The sequence below is a fragment of the Homo sapiens genome, chromosome 7 (assembly GCF_000001405.40).
Source record: "Homo sapiens chromosome 7, GRCh38.p14 Primary Assembly".
Classification (NCBI taxonomy): domain Eukaryota; kingdom Metazoa; phylum Chordata; class Mammalia; order Primates; family Hominidae; genus Homo; species Homo sapiens.
In genome coordinates, this window is record NC_000007.14 from 140,281,461 (window position 1) to 140,299,519 (window position 18,059).

Sequence of the window (18,059 nt, forward strand, 5' to 3'; positions counted from 1 at the left end):
CCAGCTTTGCAAGATGGAAGAGCTCTGGAGATTGGTTGGCCAACAATGGGAATGAACTTTACACTACTGAACTGTACGCCTGAAAATGGTTAAGATGGTCAATTTTACGTTGTGCATTTTCTACCACAATAAAAAATTTAAACAAATGTTTTTAAAAAGTAACACAAAAACCAGAGCCTACATTCCTGGATTCTTTACTCTTTTATGATTAGGACAACTCCATGAACTAGCGCCCCCATATAAGGGTCAAAGCTGGTGTCCCTCATCACCACTGGAGCATGAGGCTTTGCCTGCCCTCTCCTTAGCCGTGAGCACTTCTGAGTACCACACGCCTGTAGACAGCCCTCTACGTGCACACCGAGCTTGCCATGCAGATGTGCTTCAAGCCAGGTCTCTTAGCATCCTCCCACAACTGCACGACTGCCGCTTTCCCATCATGCCTCTTAGAAAGAAATTCTGGCACCTGTCCTATGAGTTAACCAGTACTCCAGTGTGTGCAGCCACTGCTGAAGCTTACCAGTTGCTAAGGGCGTCTGCTGTGACTCCAACAGTGCCAATACCCACTTTGGGTCCCATGGTGCAGCCTCTATAAATTCAGATGGATTCTTGCTGCCTTTTTTCACAAGGTGGACTTTCCACTCTGCTCCTGGGCTCCTGGGTTGGCCCAAGTGGGGCATGGGGGTGATCTGGCTGGTGGGGCCAACCAAGAGGGTAAAGCCACCTGAGAGGCCCAGGTGGACATGGGGCCTTGAGGTGGGGTCTGGCTGCAGGGCCTGGCTCTGGGTCAGCACAAGAAAGTCCAAAGTTTTGCCCAAGAGTCGTAGCATCATTAGAGCCGACACAGCACCTTCCGCCTGCCAGGTGCCCTTCTGAGCTCTTCACGTGCATGTACTCAATGAGTTCTCCCAGAAAACCTATGAGATCAGAACTAGGAAGTCCCATTTTATGGATGGAGAAACAGAAGCAAAACCAGGAGCTCTCTCTTGGCCCCATCTGTGGTGAGAATGAAGGTCATTCTCAGCAATCACACCATCAGCATTCCAGAAAGCATCAGCCTCACTAGGAAGGGACATACAGGGATTGGGAAGGGTCCCAGAAGAACCCTGTGGAGGGATTTGCATCACATCAATGCTGAACTCTGTCTCCTTAGAAAGGAAAGGAAGAGGCTCCAGGCTGACAAAGGGTGGGAGGTAGGAAGGAACTGGCCACACTGCCTGTAGTCGGGGTGCTCCCCTGGGCTTCTGATACATCATCAGGGTTTGGATGAGACCAGGCATTTCTTGTTCAATATCTCAAGCCCAGAAAGATGAGTGATCAGTTAATTCTTGAAGGAAACAATATTAAGCATTGTTATCAAATTCAGGCTGCCACTTTGATTCTACAGGTCACAACAAGGACAGCAAAAAAAATTTTGGATGGTATTTAAGTCTCCAAAAAAAGAAAAGTTCCGTAGGCTGAGGAAGATCTGAGTTGACCAGCTATGGAAACAAGATGGCAGATGATTCTTCAGACCTCTTTGTAATATTTTAAAGATGCAATAACAGCCCTCTATTAAAGATAAAAGAAGCAGAGGGAGGTGAAATTACTTGTTCAAGGTAACACAGCCAGTGTGAGGCAGAGCTCCATCCAAATCCACAAAGTCAGGCTCTGAAATTGGCACCCTTGCCGCTGTGCAACCACCACCCCAGCTGTCAGCCTTTGGGTGGAAAATCAGAGAGGTGGCTGGGGAGCCGAGGGAGCCCAGAGCCCAGCTGGGGTCCATCATGGTTTGTGATCATTCAGCTGCATGAGGTGGGGCTCAGCAACCAGTGAGGTGGGCTGTGGGCCTCGAGTTCAGCCCCAGAGAAGGGGCCTGGTCCAAGCCAGGCAGGGGTCGGGGACCAACTGCAGTCCCAGCAAAGGGCACCTGGGTTTCCTTGGCTCAGAGCCATTGCTCAGTTTATGTGCTGGGGCCCCGATGGGCTGACCTGAGAGGCAGGAGTGCTGGATCCCCAGGGCTATGATGCAGGCACTGGTTCTGAGTTAGATGGCAGCAAAGCACAGCAATGAGGGTGACCTGGTTGGCACCTGCCTTCTGGGTCAAGGAGGGTGACTTCATGGCAAAGACTCGTGGTTGGTGAAGATCAAGGAGTAAAGGGCACATGTGCAGGCAAGAGCACCAGTGGTCTCAGGACAGGGAAGGAAAGGGCATGCCACATGCACATGGTGCTGCTCCTCACTGGGTCAGCCATGCTCCTGCCTCGGGGCCTTTGTACTTGCTCTGCCTCGGCCTAGAGCCCTCTTCCCCAGATACCCCCATGACTCATCTCCTCACTCCCCTCAGGCCTGTGCTCAAAGTTCACCTTATCAGAGAGGCCTTCCCTTCAGAGACCTTCCCCACCACTTACCATCCCCTTCCCATAGAGACTGTGTTTCCCAGGGGTACTGCAGCAATCTCTTCTGTCCCACGTGTTCTTTCTCCAGCCCCTTGACTATGGGAACCTTGTGACTGCTTGGACCAACAGAATATGGCGCTAGACACAGTGCTAGTTCCAAACACAGTGTTCTTGGAACACTTTCCTCTTGAAGACCTCCTTCCAGATCCCAGCTGGCATGTTGAAAAGCCCAGGTCACATGGAGAGGCCACAAGTAGGTATCCAGGTTGACAGCCCAGCTTGGCTCCCAGCTGACAGTCAACCTCTGCAGTCAACAGAGTGAGCCACTCAGATGTCCAGCCAGCAGATTCCTCAGATGACTAAAGGCCTGGCCAGCATCTGATGGCAACCACATGCAAAACCCCACAAGATCCACCCTGCTGAGCCCAGTCAACCAAAGAGCCATAAGAGATGAAACTGACTTGTTGTTTTAGGCCACTAAGTTTTGGGGTGGTATGTTTCACAGCAACAGTTAACTGGAACATTTACTCGCTTAATTAATTTTTCATAGCACTTACCACCACCTGACATTTCATCATAAGCTATTTGTTTCTTGTCTCTTTCTTTCTCTTGGTTTTGCTTACTGCTAGACTCTTTGCACTGAGAGCAGTGCCTGGCACATAGAAAGCCCTCAATACATATTCTCTGAATGGATGAATGAATCCAAAGACATTTGGTGAAAAATCTTAATGCAGTAGTCAATGTGATTTCATTGGTTCCTGATAAGCCTAACACTGGTTTGTTTCTGAGCATAGGCTGGGTGTCACATTTGGTCAGATTTATTCATTAGCAACCATTTATTGAGCTTCTACTATGTGGTAGGCCCTGGAGATAAATCAGTGAACAAAAGCAAAAATCCCTGCTCTCATTCTAGTGGTAAGGAGACAGGCAATAAACAAAAGACATAAGTAAAATTACTTGGTATATTGGAAGGGGAAAGATTGCAAAGAAAAGAAATCTGATGGCTGGGTACAGTGGCTCACACCTGTAATCCTAGCACTTTGGGAGGCAAGGCAGGCGGATCACCTGAAGACAGGAGTTTAAGACCAGCCTGGCCAACATGGTGAAACTCCATCTCTAATAAAAATACAGGCCAGGTGCGGTGGGTCACGCCTGTAATCCGCACACTTTGGGAGGCCAAGGCAGGCTGATCACCTGAGGTCGGGAGTTCGAGGCCAGCCTGACCAACATGGAGAAACCCTGTCTCTATTAGAAATACAAAAAAATAGCCAGATATGGTGGCACATGCCTATAATCCCAGCTACCTGGGAGGCTGAGGCAGGAGAATTGCTTGAACCTGGGAGGCGGAGGTTGCAGTGAGCCAAGATCGTGCCATTGCACTCCAGCCTGGGCAACAAGAGTGAAACTGTGTCTCAAAAAAATAAAAAATACACATACAAAAAATTAGCTGGGTGTGGTGGTACATGCCTGTAATCCCAGCTAATCAGGAGGCTGAGGCAGGAAGATCACTTGAACCCAGGAGGCAGAGGTTGTAGTGAAGCAGGAGAATCACTTAAACCCAGGAGGTGGAGGTTGCAGTGAGCGGCGATTGCACCACTGCACCCCAGACTGGGTGACAGAGCGAAACTCTGTCTCGGGAAAAAAAAAAAGAAGGCCAGTGGAGCTGGCTAGAAGGAGCGAGGGAGGCAGAGAGGAGATGAAGTGAGAAAGGGAACCTGGGGCAGATCAGGAAGGGCCTTGAAAGACTCAAAAGGAATTTTCAGGCTTTGGAATAAGAACTTGCCAAAATCCACCAGATCCTCTGTGCCTGGAAGAGCTTCTCTTGCTCCTTCCCTACTGCCTCTGGTCCCAGGCGGTGCATGGCAGGCACTCGGGGAACCCTACGTGAGTGAAGGAGCATCCCAAGGTCTTGGGGACAGGTCAGTTCCCTCCTCCTCCACCCTTCCTGAGACTCCTTCTCTCTGTATCCGCAGCCACCTGGCCAGCCTCTCCTCTGCTTGCTCCAAGTCTGCAAGCCACTTTGTTAAACTGACACCTCATTCTCTCTCTGGCTGCCACATAGCCTCCAACTTAATTCTGTCATCGTGCACTGCTTAGCCCAATATTGGTTATAACCTGAAACTCAGCCGACTCCAAGGCCCCTGGCCCATTCCCATGTGTGCAGTGTGGACCAAAGAACCCCCGTGTGGTCTAACTCTTGTTCTTGGAACCTGGGATCCCGTGCTGCCATAGTTCATAGAGAGGCCTCACACTGCAGGCCTCCTCTGACCCCCGCAATAACCTACTTCCATAATAATAGAAACTGTTTATGATACACTGATATCGTGAAAGAAGCAGGATGTAAAACTGCCTATTCAATGTGTTTCCCATTTCCTTAAAAATTACTTGGGCCTAGAAACAAGACAGAGGAAATACACCAAAACGTTAACAGTTTTCTCACTGATAGTGGTGGTATTTTTATTGATGTACTTTAAGCTTTCCTTTTTTTTTTTAAGCTGTGGCAATAAAAAGTCATTTTCAGAATGCACTTATGAACTATTATGCCTAGCTTGAATGCAGTGAAATAGCAGAAATCCCTTGAGGTGATAATCCAGGTGGGTTCAACACTGGACCCTTGAAAATTCAGGTTTTATTCACGTTGCAAAAGGACTTCTCTGCATCGCTTTCTAAAATTTCATTCACGGGCACTGATTTAGGATCCCAGTTACTGCATAAGTCAAGACCACTTGGAACAAAATTCTTTTGCTAGATGCTCTGCATCTTATCCCTACCCTGACCCAACAGGACTTCAGTTATAGCATTTTAGGATGGGCAGCCAGGCTTATCACCCATTCCAAAGAAGTTCATGTGTGTGTGTGTGTGTGTGTGTGTGTTCATGTGTGTATGTGTTCGTGTGTGTATTGTGTATCTATACATAGAACACACACACATGCTACTGGTTCTGTTTTTCTGGAGCACCCTGAACTAATGCACTCGTTCCTACGGGAACATTCCCTGTAGAGGGGGTGTTCATGCAGAGATTGGCCATTTCTCAGGGACATCCCAGAAAGAGCCTTCTAAGGGCTGAAAGGCAGTGCAGTGTGGTGACCAACAGCAGGCTGGGACCAGACTGCCTGGGTTGGAATCCCGACTTTGCCACTTACCTTTTTTTTTGAGACGGAGTCTCACTCTGTTGCCCAGGCAGGAGTGCAGTGGCACAATCTCGGCTCACTGCAACCTCCGCCTCCTGGGTTCAAGCCATTCTCCTGCCTCAGCCTCCCAAGTAGCTGGGATTACAGGCGCTCACCACCATGCCTGGCTAATTTTTGTATTTTTAGTAGAAATGGGTTTCACCATGTTGGCCAGGCTGGTCTCGAACATCTGACCTCAAGTGATCCGCCTGCCTCAGCCTCCCAAAGTGCTAGAATTACAGGCATGAACCATCGCGCCTAGCTTGCCACTTACTTTCCTTTTTTTTTTTTTTTTTTAAGACAGGGTCTCGCTCTGTCACCCAGGCTGGAATGCAGCAGTGCGATCTCAGCTCACTGCAACTTCCGCCTCCTAGGTTCAAGTGATCTTCGTGCCTCAGCCTCCTGAGTAGCTGGAACCACAGGCACCCGCCACCATGCCCAGCTACTTTTTCTATTTTTTGTAGAGATGGGGTTTCACCATGTTGGCCAGGCTGGTCTCAAACTCCTGACCTCATGTGATCCACCCACCTCAGCCTCCTAAAGTGCTGGGATTACAGGCATGAGCCACTGATCCCACCCCCAACTGTGTGACCTTGGGCAAATTGCTTAACCACTTGTGGTGGGCAGTATCATGGCCTCCCCAAAGATTCCCACGTTTGAATGCCTGGAACCTGGAAATACATGACCTTCCCTAATAAATGGATGAAGGTTGCCGATGGAGTTATGCTGGATCCACAACTTCACTAGCAAGAGCCTAACGGGGAAGTGAGAATACCACTAACAACTATATGCTATAAACACCAGAGAGGAATGGCCAAGGGGGAGAAGACCCTAAGGTGGGGCAGGGCAGGGCAGGGCAGGTGGTGAAGAAGAACCTGATTCCTAATCCCACCCTTATTTCTAGAAGCTCCATCAAAGTGGAGGAAAAGGGACAAAACCCTTAGCGGTCCTATGGGGAGCTCCCAGTCCTGAGGCAGATGGGAGTGAAGCTGCAGCTCAGTCCATGGGAAACCCCCCCACCCCACCCCAAAGGCCCCAAGCCTTGCCCTATCCTGGAACCAGGTGCTGAACAGCGGGAGCAGCTACAGCTGTTGCCCTGCAAATGAGGGCTGCTGGCCTGGTTACAGCCAACTCAGTCAACCACACTTCACAAGGTCTCAAAAGGGACAGCAGAAGCCCCACAGCTGGAGTCGCTGATGCCCAGTGCCTGAAACAGGACCTGCTCAAGAACCATCCACTGATGCCAGAAGTAGTGGGCAAGCATGGTGGAAAACCGGCTATGGGCAGGGTTTCAGAGAATCTCCCCATAAGATACTTACTGATTCCAAAGGGGAAAAATAATGACTTTGCAGTGTAGAAACCTGGAAGATATCACCTAATCCAAGGGACCAAAGTCAGCCAAGTCCAGGGAGGAGACACCTCTGACAGGACGCACTGAGAAGGGAACCGCATCACTTCTCTGGTATTCTTGCCCAAAACGTATAACCTGAGTTTATCCTAAGGACACATTTAAAAAAACCCAAGTAGACATTATACAAACTAGTTGGTTTGTACTCTTCAAAAGCGCCCAGGTCATGAAAGAGAAAGGCTGTGCGATGATTCCAGATTGGAAGGGACTAAACAGACATAATTAAAAGCAGCGGGCTGGGTGCAGTGGCTATGCCTGTAATCCCAGCACTTTGGGAGGCTGAGGCAAGGGGATTACCCGAGGTCAAGAGTTCAAGACCAGCCTGGCCAACATGGTGAAACCCCGTCTCTACTGAAAAATATACAAAAAATTAGCTGGGCATGGTGGCGGGCGCCTGTAATCCCAGCTACTCGGGAGGCTGAGGCAGGAGAATCACTTCAACCCAGGAGGTGGAGGTTCAGTTAGCCAAGATCGTGCCATTGCACTCCAGCCTGAGCAACAAGAGCGAAACTCCATCTCAAAAATATAATAATAAATAAATAAAAAATAAAAGCAGCATGGGCTCCTGGATTGACTCTAGAACCTAAAAAAAGACATTAGTGGAACAAGAGGCAAAATTGTAACACATATGTAGATGAGTTAATAGTATTATATCAATATTAACTTCCTGGTTTTTGGTGTTTGTTTGTTTGTTTGTTTGTTTGAGACAGAGTCTCACTCTGTTGCCCAGGCTAGAGTGCAGTGGCCTGATCTTGGCTCATTGCAACCTCTGCTTCCTGGGTTCAAGCAATTCTCATGCCTCAGCCTCAAGAGGTAGCTGGGATTACAGGTGTGTGCCACCACGCCCGGCTAATTTTTGTAATTTTAGTAGAGACGGGGTTTCATCATGTTGGCCAGGCTGGTCTCAAACTCCCGGCCTCAAGAAATCCACCCACCTTGGGCTCCCAAAGTTCTGAGATTACAGGCATGAGCTACTCTGCCCAGCCAACTTCCTGGTTTTGATGATTGTGCTATGATTCCAGATTTTCTAAGATAACATTTGAGAAAGATGGGTGAAGAATATATAACTCTGTACTATTAATGCAACTTTTTTATGTCTGAAATTATTTCAAAATGAACATTTAAAGCCTTAAAAATAAAGCAGCACAGACATAGCAGGCACTCAATAAATATTTGTTGAATTAATAAAAAGAAACAAGGCTGGGTGTGGTGGCTCATGCCTGTAATCCCAGCACTTTGGGAAGCCAGGGTGGGTGGATCACCTGAGGTCAGGAGTTTGAGACTAGCCTGACCAACATGACCCTGCCCCTACTAAAAATGCAAAAATTAGCTGGGTGCGGTGGCGGGCGCCTGTAATCCCAGCTACTCAGGAGGCTGAGGCAGAAGACTCACTTGAACCCAGGAGGCGGAGGTTGCACTGAGCCGAGATAGTGCCATTGCACTCAAGCCTAGGCGACAAGAGTGAAACTCCATCTCTAAATAAATAAATAAATAAATGAACCCAGATCTCCCAGCAATGACGGCACTCAGCCCCAGCCAAACTCCTCCCCTTCTCCACCTCCACCAGCACTTCTGTGTACCCTTTATTGCAGCTGCGCATGATGACCTTCCAGAGCAGTGTGGTGGCTTCATTTCTGCCTTTCAAATCTCATGTAAATTCCTCTTCTGGCCAGCTCTACAGAGAAGAGGGTTCTGGAAAATGTAGTTCCAACTTAGCCCAACTGACACAATACAAACCACCACAGTCTACCCCCTGTAAACTTGGCGTCCATAAATATATGTATATTTTTTTATTACTATTTTTTTGAGGAAGAGTCTTACTCTGTTGCCCAGGCTGGAGTGCAATGGTGTGATCTTAGCTCACTGCAACCTCCGCTTCCCATGTTCAAGCAATTCTTGTGCCTCAGCCCCCCGAGTAGCTGAGATTACAGGGGTGCACCACCACACCTGACTAATTTTTGTATTTTTAGTAGAGATGGGGTTTCACCATGTTGGCCAGGCTGGTCTCAAACTCCTGACCTCAGGTGATCTGCCCACCTCGGCCTCCCAAAATGCTGGGATTACAGGCGACAGTCACCAAGCCCAGCCTCCATACATACTTTTTGAATCACATTAAACCTCCAAATAAAGACAATAGCAAAATCATGCATTCACCTTACAGGATACAATTATCTTTTATATCACTGAAAATACACTAACCATCTTTCCAATAGAGAATACAAAGCTGCATATCATTTTACTCATGTTTAGGTAATGTTCCTTCCTCTTCTAGCTGATCCCTTGTGGATATTCTGTAACTTGAATAATGAAACATAAAGTTAACTTATTAGCATCTCATTCAGTAGTAGGGTAACGGGGTGGAGGAAGGAAAGAAAAAAATTGGATGAAATATACATGAAGTATTCATATTAAAGTAAGAAGAAATGCTTATAACTACTATAGTCTTCATTTATGTAGTCGGTCTCATGATTGTGGCTGGTATTCTTAATCCTTTTCCTCAACTAATCAACATCCCGTTTCCCCTCAACACGAACCCTGAAGGATAAATTATAAGCAGTAAATGTGGTGGTTAAAACCAGCTTTTAAAATATTTGTTCACTGGCTGGACATGGTGGCTCACACCTATAATCCCAGCACTTTGGGAGGCTGAGGCAGGCAGATCACTTGAGGTCAGAGTTCGAGACCAGCCTGGCCAACATGATGAAACCCTGTCTCTACTAAAAATACAAAAAAAAAAAAAAAATTAGCCGAGTGAGGTGAGCACACCTGTAATTCCAACTACTTGGCAGGCTGAGGCAGGAGAATCGCTTGAACCTGGGAGGCAGAGGTTGCAGTAAGCTGAGATTGTGCCACAGCACTCCAGCCCTGAGACTCTGTCTCCAAAACAAACAAACAAACAACTCAGCTAGACAGATTCCTTGACTGATGGGGTGATTCAAACCTCCGTTACTGAAGTGCTTGTGATATTAACAAGCCTGCCTGAGTTCAATTGTAGTTTTCCATTATCTTCATTATATATATACATATATACATATGTATATATATACATAGAGACAGGGTCTTGCTCTGTCACACAGGCTGGAGTGCAGTGGCTCAATCATAGCTCACTGCAGCCTTGAACCCTGGACTCAAGCGATCCTCCCACCTCAGCCTCCTGAGTAGTTGGGACTACAGGTTTGCACCATGACACCCAGCTAATTTTTTGTATTTTTTTGTAGTGACGGGGTTTTAGCTGTGTTTCCCAGGCTGGTCTTGAACTAATTAACTCAAGCAATACTCTTGCCCTGGCTTCCCAAAGTGCTGGGATTACAGGCGTGAGCCACCGTGACCACCTCCCATTATCTTTTATCACAGGACATCTCCCAAATGCCCAAATTCCAGACATACTCCTCCTTATCCACATTGCGAAGTAGCAGCCCAGTTTCCTCTTGATCAGGATCAATTACCCCAGCCAAAACAGTAACTTTCTTGGCCTGTTGGTTCATTGACACGAGGACCCTAAAGCCATCTGAACTTCCAGTTTCCCTTCCTTCCTTTTTTTTTTTTTTTTTTTTTTTTTTTGACAGGTCTTTCTCTGTCTTCCAGACTGGAGTGCAGTGGCCGGATCTTGACTCACTGCAACCTCCCTCCACCTCCTGGGTTCAAGCGATTCTCCTGCCTCAGCCTCCCAGGTAGCTGGGATTACAGGCGCCTGCCACCATGCCAAGCTAATTTTTGTGTTTTTAATAGAAACGGGATTTCACCATGTGGGCCAGGCTGGTCTCGAACTCCTGACCTCAGGTGAGCCATCTGTTTTGGCCTCCCAAAGTGCTGGGATTACAGGCGCGAGCTACCGCCCCCGGCCTGAACTTCCAGTTTCATGGAAACATTGCTATGTTCCCTGATAGATGCATTCCTCTTTTGGGAACTAAGACTTCTAGGCCAGCAGAACCTAAAGTTGTAGGCATGGGAAAGAAAAATGTCACAGGTGCATAATTACAGGTAATGGTGAAAGAGACCCCTCCCTTCTCCACCTCCTGACCCCTGGCCCCATGAATCCGGCTATGGGTGAAATAGTGTCATATCTTGGTCACTGATTTAAAGCATGGACCACGGGTAAAGTGCTGGCCGCGAAGGGCGCGCGAGGAGCCGCCACCCGCTCAGCGTGGGCTTTGGTGTCGGGGTCGTTGTGTGTTGACAATCACTCCAGTAGCCGTTTCCGATACAGCATGTGCGGCCTCTTTAGCCTTGAGCGGGCTCCGCGGCTGCCTGGCGGGCTTGGCTAGTGCCTGATCCTTCTCTCCGCAGAGCCCATGCCAAGCAGCGACCCTGAGCCGACAGCCGGAGCGCCGGGCAAAGGCCGCCTCAACAGCCTCGCACCGGCCCATCAAGGGGATCCTGAAGAACAGGACTTCTACGACTCTCTATGGTTGCGTCGGCAGAAGAAGAGCTGAGAAAAAATCCCGGAAGTGGGATGAAATGAACTTCCTGGCAACATATCATCCAGCAGACAAAGACTGTGGCTTCATGAACACTGATGAACCAAACACTCCCCTTACCATGGTGTGATGGGTGTTGATGGAGACGCGTGTAATGATACAGAAACCACTGAGGCCATGGCACCAGATAGCTAAGAAATTAGCTGCTGCTGAAGGCTCAGAGCCCAAGTATCGGGTTCAGGAACAAGAAAGCAGTGGAGAGGAGGATAGTGACCTCTCACCTGAAGAACGAGAAAAAAAGCGACAATTTAAAATGAAAAGGAGGCTTCACTTCAACAAAGGACTCAATATTAAATTAGCTAGACAACTAATGTCAAAAGACGTACATCACGATGACAAAGATGAAGAAACGTGACAGAGTGCAGATGGAGAAAGCATGAATATGGAAGAATGAAAAAAAAAAGAACCTACTACAAGCGACCAATGGCAAAACAAATCACAAAGTTCACAGAAGAGATCGGTTGAATGTTGCAATCGTTTGTTAGATATAAACCCTGTTGCTTCTTGTTCTCCACAATTCATGACTTAAGTACCAAAATGCATACCAATGATTATACATCACCAAGAATTAAATAACCTTAGAGACTGACTAGACTGAAAATGCCTAATTGATATATATATTTTCTTGTGCCTAGTACTTTCCCACAAATACAGTGTAATATCAATCCCAAACTGCATTACTTTTGAAAGAACACTGGTCAATTTGTATAAGAAATTATACAGCTTTTTATGCTTTAGAGGTTAAACAATATCTTGAGGGGGGAACTAATTTATTTTCATCACTCTAAATGTGGTGATAGCTTTTTTTTTTTTTTTTTGAGAGGGAGTCTCGCTTTGTCACCCATGCTGGAGTGCAGTGGTACGATCTTGGCCCACTGCAACCTCCATCTCCTGGGTTTAAGTGATTCCCCTGCCTCAGCCTCCCAAGTAGCTGGGATTAAAGGCATGTGCCACCACACCCAGCTAATATTTCTGTATTTTTAGTAGAGCCGGGGTTTTGCCCTGTTGGCCAGGCTGGTCTCAAACTCCTGACATCAAGGGATCTGCCTGCCTCGGCCTCCCAAAGTGCTAGGATTACAGGCATGAGCCACCGCGCCCAGCCAGTGTAGCTCTTATAAAGTTTGTTGGTTTGTCTGTTTGGTTTTTAAATCAAAAGCCAATTGAACAACAGGATATATACGCTGATAAATATTTGGGCTAAATAGTATTTTAACATTTGTCTTCAACTTGATTTGTCTGTTTAATTGAAAAGGATTGTAAGAGTTACTGTTGCATTTTCTGGCCTACTATAACATTTAAAATTCCTGTTGAGTTTCTTTGTGTTTACAAGGAAAGGACAACTTTTTCTCATCAAAACTAGCTTTTTCCCCACAAATAAATTATCAGGTTAAACTTGAAAGAAAAAAAAAGCATAGATCATACACCAGCTCTATAAGGTGTCGTCATCCTTATAGGGATGGTAGATGGTAGCTGGTCCTGTGAATCTTCAAAAGCTCATTCCATTGTTCTATTGGGCCAGCTGCTTCAGGGTGGTGGGAAACACGGTAAGACTAGTAAACTCCATGAGCAGGAGCCCGCTGATCCACTTAATTTGCTATGAAATGACTTCCTTGGTCAGAAGTAATGCCATATGGCCTACCTTGACGGTGGGTAGGGCATTCTGTAAGTCCACTTACTGTGGCTCTGGCAGAAGTATTGTGGGTAGGGAAGGAAAATTCATGTCCATAGTAAGTGTCTATTCCAGCAAGTACAAAGCACTTCCTCTTTCATAATGGAGGTGACCTGATGTAATTAACCTGCCACCAGGCAGCTGATTGGTCCTCTTGGGGAATAGTGCCATATTAGGGCCTCAGTATGGGCTGTGATCTGTTGTCAGTTCAGGCTTGGAGGGTAGAAGACCAGGCTACTAAGCCCTTGCATCCCTTCTATTGCTGCTGCTATGTCCCCTTTGTTTGTGAGTTCACTGAGCAAGGACGGAGTGGCTGGAGAAAAAGGACTGAATGATGTCCACAGAATGAGTGTATCAATTAAGGGTTTAATCAGAGAGGCAGACCCATTAGGATACATATTTCTCTGTGTGTGTGTGTATTTGTTGTGCAAATTTGATCTTAGTAATTGTGAGGCTAGTTAAACAACTGTGTGTATGTTCTCCTCCTGGATGGGATGTCTGATGCTAGAGAGTTAAGTTCACAGGGCAGGTGGTTAGGAGGGAAATGGATATAAATAGAGAAGAGCAGGACAGCCTGTAACCTGCAAGCACAAGCTGGAACCGAGCAGCATGAACTGGAACCTGTGTCAGTCTCACTGCCCCTGACCTTGAGGGTCTGGATGTCCTGAAGAAGCCAGTGCCCATTGTCATGGAGCTGCCCCATCTGGCCCAGGAGTTGGAGAAGCTGAAGGAGGATCAGGGGAAGGTAGAGTAGCTGCAGGCATGGCTGCCATCCACACTGATGACGGGAGCCTGCAGGTTAAATGACAACAGGTAAATTACAAAATGGTGACTGCTTCACTTCCACCCTCCAATTCTCTCTTGTGGCTCATCCTAACTGGAGACATAGCGGGAGGGGATTCTGAGAAACGGAGTTCAACGCAGCCAGGCTGACATATTTTAAAGTCGGCACAACTGCTCCCTTCTCAAGTTGGCACCCACACACTCCTCTTTTCATCACACTTATCCTCCAGTTACGGACAGTAACAAAGTGATGCTTCCTCCTAACAGAATGCAGCCATCCCACAAATCCACACGCACCCTTTCCCCAGCGAAGATGCAAACTCTCTTTTTGTCTTCTTCTAGCTGATTCACACTCCCTTTTTGTGCATTTTATTATCACTCTTTAAACTGTATATAAACACATCATAAGCTTCTTCCTCACTGATTCACACTCCCCCTTTGAGATCCTATAACTGAAATACTGAGAGAGAAAGCTAATTTCTATTAACATGCCTTATGTTAGACGTTAAGGGGCTAGGAGAGAGGAAGATAATGAAAATATTTAGTTAATTCATAAATACAAACATATTCGTATCAAAATCATTACTACAGTCCTCATTTCTGCCATTGGTCATGCGTCTGTAGTTGACATTGATAATTACCTGCCACCACCCATTCCTCATTTCCTTTGTCCTCAGCAAGCACCTCAGCGGGTCATGGCCTCCTGACTGGTGGGATCACCCAAACCTTCATTCTTGAAGGGTCTAAGCCTTTAGCAGTCTTGCCTGGATTGGGTTGTTGTCATTTGCCTTTGACTTTAAACACAGGGCACAGGAGTTGTAGGTGAAATCCTAATAAAGTCGCTGGTTAAGAGTAGCATATCAATATTAATCACTTAGTTCTGACAAATGTACCACGGTTATGTAAGATGTGAACATTAGGGGAAGCTGGGTGAAGGCCATATGGGGACTCTCTATACTGTCTTTGAAAATTTTCTGCAAATCTAAAATTATTCCCACCCCAAAAGTATGTACATCTATTATGCATCAATAAAAAATTATTTAAGTAAAATAACTCCCAAGATTAAAAGCTTTTATGTGTATCTTTCACAAAATAATAAGTCATAATCTAAAATAAAATAAAATGGAGGCCAGGCGCAGTGGCTCACACCTGTAATCCCAGCACTTTGGGAGGCCAAGGCAGGCGGATCACTTGAGGTCAGGAGTTCGAGACCAGCCTGGCCAACATGGTGAAACCCCGTCTCTACTAAAAATGCAAAAATTAGCCAGGCGTGATGGTGGGTGCCTGTAATCCCAGCTACTCAGGAGGCTGAGAGAGGAGAATCACTTGAACCCAGGAGGCAGAGGTTGCAGTGAGCCAACATCTCACCATTGCACTCCAGCCTGGGTGACAGAGTGAGACTCTGTCTCAAAAAGAATTAAAAATAAATAAATAAATAAATACATAAATAAAATGTAAAATAAAATAAAATGGAGACAAATACCTCCTCTTAGGGTTGATGAGAGGATTCAATGAGCTGGTGCCTGTAAAACGCTCACACAGAGCATGCGTTTAAAAGGTCAATAAATGGGCCAGGTGCAGTGGCTCACACCTGTAATCCCAGCACTTTGGGAGGCCAAGGTGGTCGGATCACCTGAAGTCAGGAGTTTGAGACCAGCCTGACCAACATGGTGAAACCTTGTCTCTACTAAATACAAAAAATTAGCCGATCATAGTGGCGCATGCCTGTAATCCCAGCTACTTGGGAGGCTGAAGCAGAATTGCCTGAACCTGGGAGGCAGAGGTTGCAGTGAGCCGAGATGGCATTGCACTCCAGCCTGGGCAACAAGAGCGAAACTCTGTCTCCAAAAAAAAAGGTCAATAAATGCAGGTTATAATAATAGTTGTTATACTCCCTCCAAACTCTTCCACCTCTCAGATTCTATGAGCATGGCTACTTGGTGGTGGTGTACTCACAGTTTCAGCTTTGGGGAAAATGAAGCTGCAGCATGGCTCCACTTGCTGGTGTCCTACTAAATATGACATGTGGCATTTCTGTTCTTCACCTGCCCTCCTCCCCTTTCCTTTAAGACCACAAGAGGGCCAGGTGTGGTGGCTCGCACTTTGGAAGGCCAAGGCAGGTAGATCGTTTGAGCTCAGGATTTGGAGACCAGCCTGAGCAATATGGTGACACCCCGTCTCTACAAAAAAATACAAAAATTAGCCGCGCGTGGTGGTGCATGCTTGTAGTCCCAGCTACTTGAGAGGCTGAGGTGGGAGGATCACTTGAGCTCAGGAGGCAGAGTTTGCAGTAAGCCTAGGGCATGCCACTGCACTCCAGCCTGGGCAACAGAGTGAGACCCTGTCTCAAAAACAAACAAATGCACAAATAAACCAATAAAAAAACCACAAGAAAGATTCTCAAACCAACATACAATGTCTCCAAGAATGTGAAAACCTCTTTGAAAAGCTTGAGAGGATTCCACACGTCCCTTTCATCTTCTCTAGGCAGTACTCCTCCAACTCTCTTTATTTATTTATTTATTTATTGAAAACCCCTTAGAGCTGGATATCTTCCTTTCCCAAAAGAAAAGTTGTCTACACCTGTGGTTTCCAGTCTTTTAAATGTCACCTTTAAAAAAGGAAGGGGGCTGGGAGTCACTTCTAGTTGCCAATTTGTTATTTAATACACAAGGGAGGTTTTGTTTTTAAATCCCAAATATACTGTTATTATCACCAACATTTTATTAAAATGCCATCAAAAGAAAGGGCATCTTACCACCAAAAAAAAAAAAAAGAAAAAAGATAAGAGGAGCAGAATCTCAGAATAAAGTGTCCTTGCAAATAAATACCATAATTGGCAACTGACTCTGACAGGTCAAAAAATTTTAAAACACAGAATGTTCTAAAAAAAAAAAAATCAAGCAAAAGAAATTGCAGCATAAAATATTATCCTAAGATGTGGCATTGCATTTTCATTTTTAAATTGTGAACACTGCATACAAATGAAAGAGTGCATATGATGTGGATATCTACGGTTTTAAAGAATGATAATAAAACGCACAACACATAATACAGAACTCTCCTGGTGCTCCTCCCCTGGTGCTCCTCCCCTGGTACTCCTCCCCTGGTGTTCCTCCCCACCTTCCTCTCTAGCTCCTGGAGGACACTGCCATCCTGTGTATTTATTAATCACTTCCTGTATTCTTTCTCTCTCTCTCTCTCAACATATATATATATATATATATATGTATATATATATGTGTGTGTATATATATATATGTATATATATATGTGTGTATATATATATACACACACATATATATATATATGTTTTGTTGTTGTTGCTGTTGTTTTGTTTGTTTTTGAGACAGAGTCTTGCTCTGTCACCCAGGCTGGAGTGCAATGGCACCGTCTCGGCTCACTGCAACCTCCACCTCCCAGGTTCAAGTGATTCTCCTGCCTCAGCCTCCCAAGCAGCTAGGACTACAGGTGCGTGTCACCTCACCCAGCTAATTTTTGTGTTTTTAGTAGAGACAGGGTTGCACTATGTTGGCCAGTCTGGTCTCTAGCTCCTGACCCGGTGATCCACCCGCCTTGGCCTCCCAAAGTGCTGGGATTACAGGCGTGAGCCATCACACCTGGCCTCTCTTTATATTTTACTACCTATGTCTCAACCCAGGAACAAGGCATTAATTAGTTTGGCCTCTTTTTACGGTTGTTTTCTCTTTGTTTGTTTGTTTTGAGATGGAGTCTCAATCTGCCGCCCCAGCTAGAGTGTAGTGGCGAGATCTCAGCTCACTGCAACCTCCACGCCTCCTGGGTTCAAGCAATTCTCCTGCCTCAGCCTCCCGAGTAGCTGGGATTACAGGCGCCCGCCACCACGCCCGGCTATTGTTTGTTTTTTTGAGGTGGAGTTTCGCTCTTATTGCCCAGGCTGGAGTGCAGTGGTGTGACCTCAGCTCACTGTAACCTCTGCCTTCCTGGTTCAAGTGATTCTCCTGCCTCAGCCTCCTGAGTAGCTGGGATTACAGGCATGCACCACTATGCACACCTAATTTTGTATTTTTACTAGAGACGGGGTTTCGCCAAGTTGGCCAGGCTGGTCTTGAACTTCTGACCTCAGGCGATCCACCCACCTCGGCCTCCTAAAGGGCTGGGATTACAGGTGTGAGCCACCGCACCCGGCCATGTTGT

General features: G+C 46.5%; 1 long non-coding RNA gene and 1 pseudogene across 1 annotated transcript; one reads left to right on the forward strand and one right to left on the reverse strand.

Annotated features, from left to right (window-relative positions):
• PPP1R2P6 (protein phosphatase 1 regulatory inhibitor subunit 2 pseudogene 6) lies at positions 11,096–12,078 on the forward strand (annotated as a pseudogene).
• A 1,368-nt stretch (positions 12,079–13,446) lies between these two features.
• Positions 13,447–15,999, reverse strand: LOC105375534 (uncharacterized). Its single transcript, XR_001745387.2, has 3 exons — positions 15,840–15,999; positions 14,525–14,677; positions 13,447–13,892 (listed from the first exon to the last, which is right to left on the reverse strand). It is a non-coding gene; the product is annotated as an uncharacterized LOC105375534 (long non-coding RNA).
• Between the last annotated feature and the right edge of the window lie 2,060 nt (positions 16,000–18,059).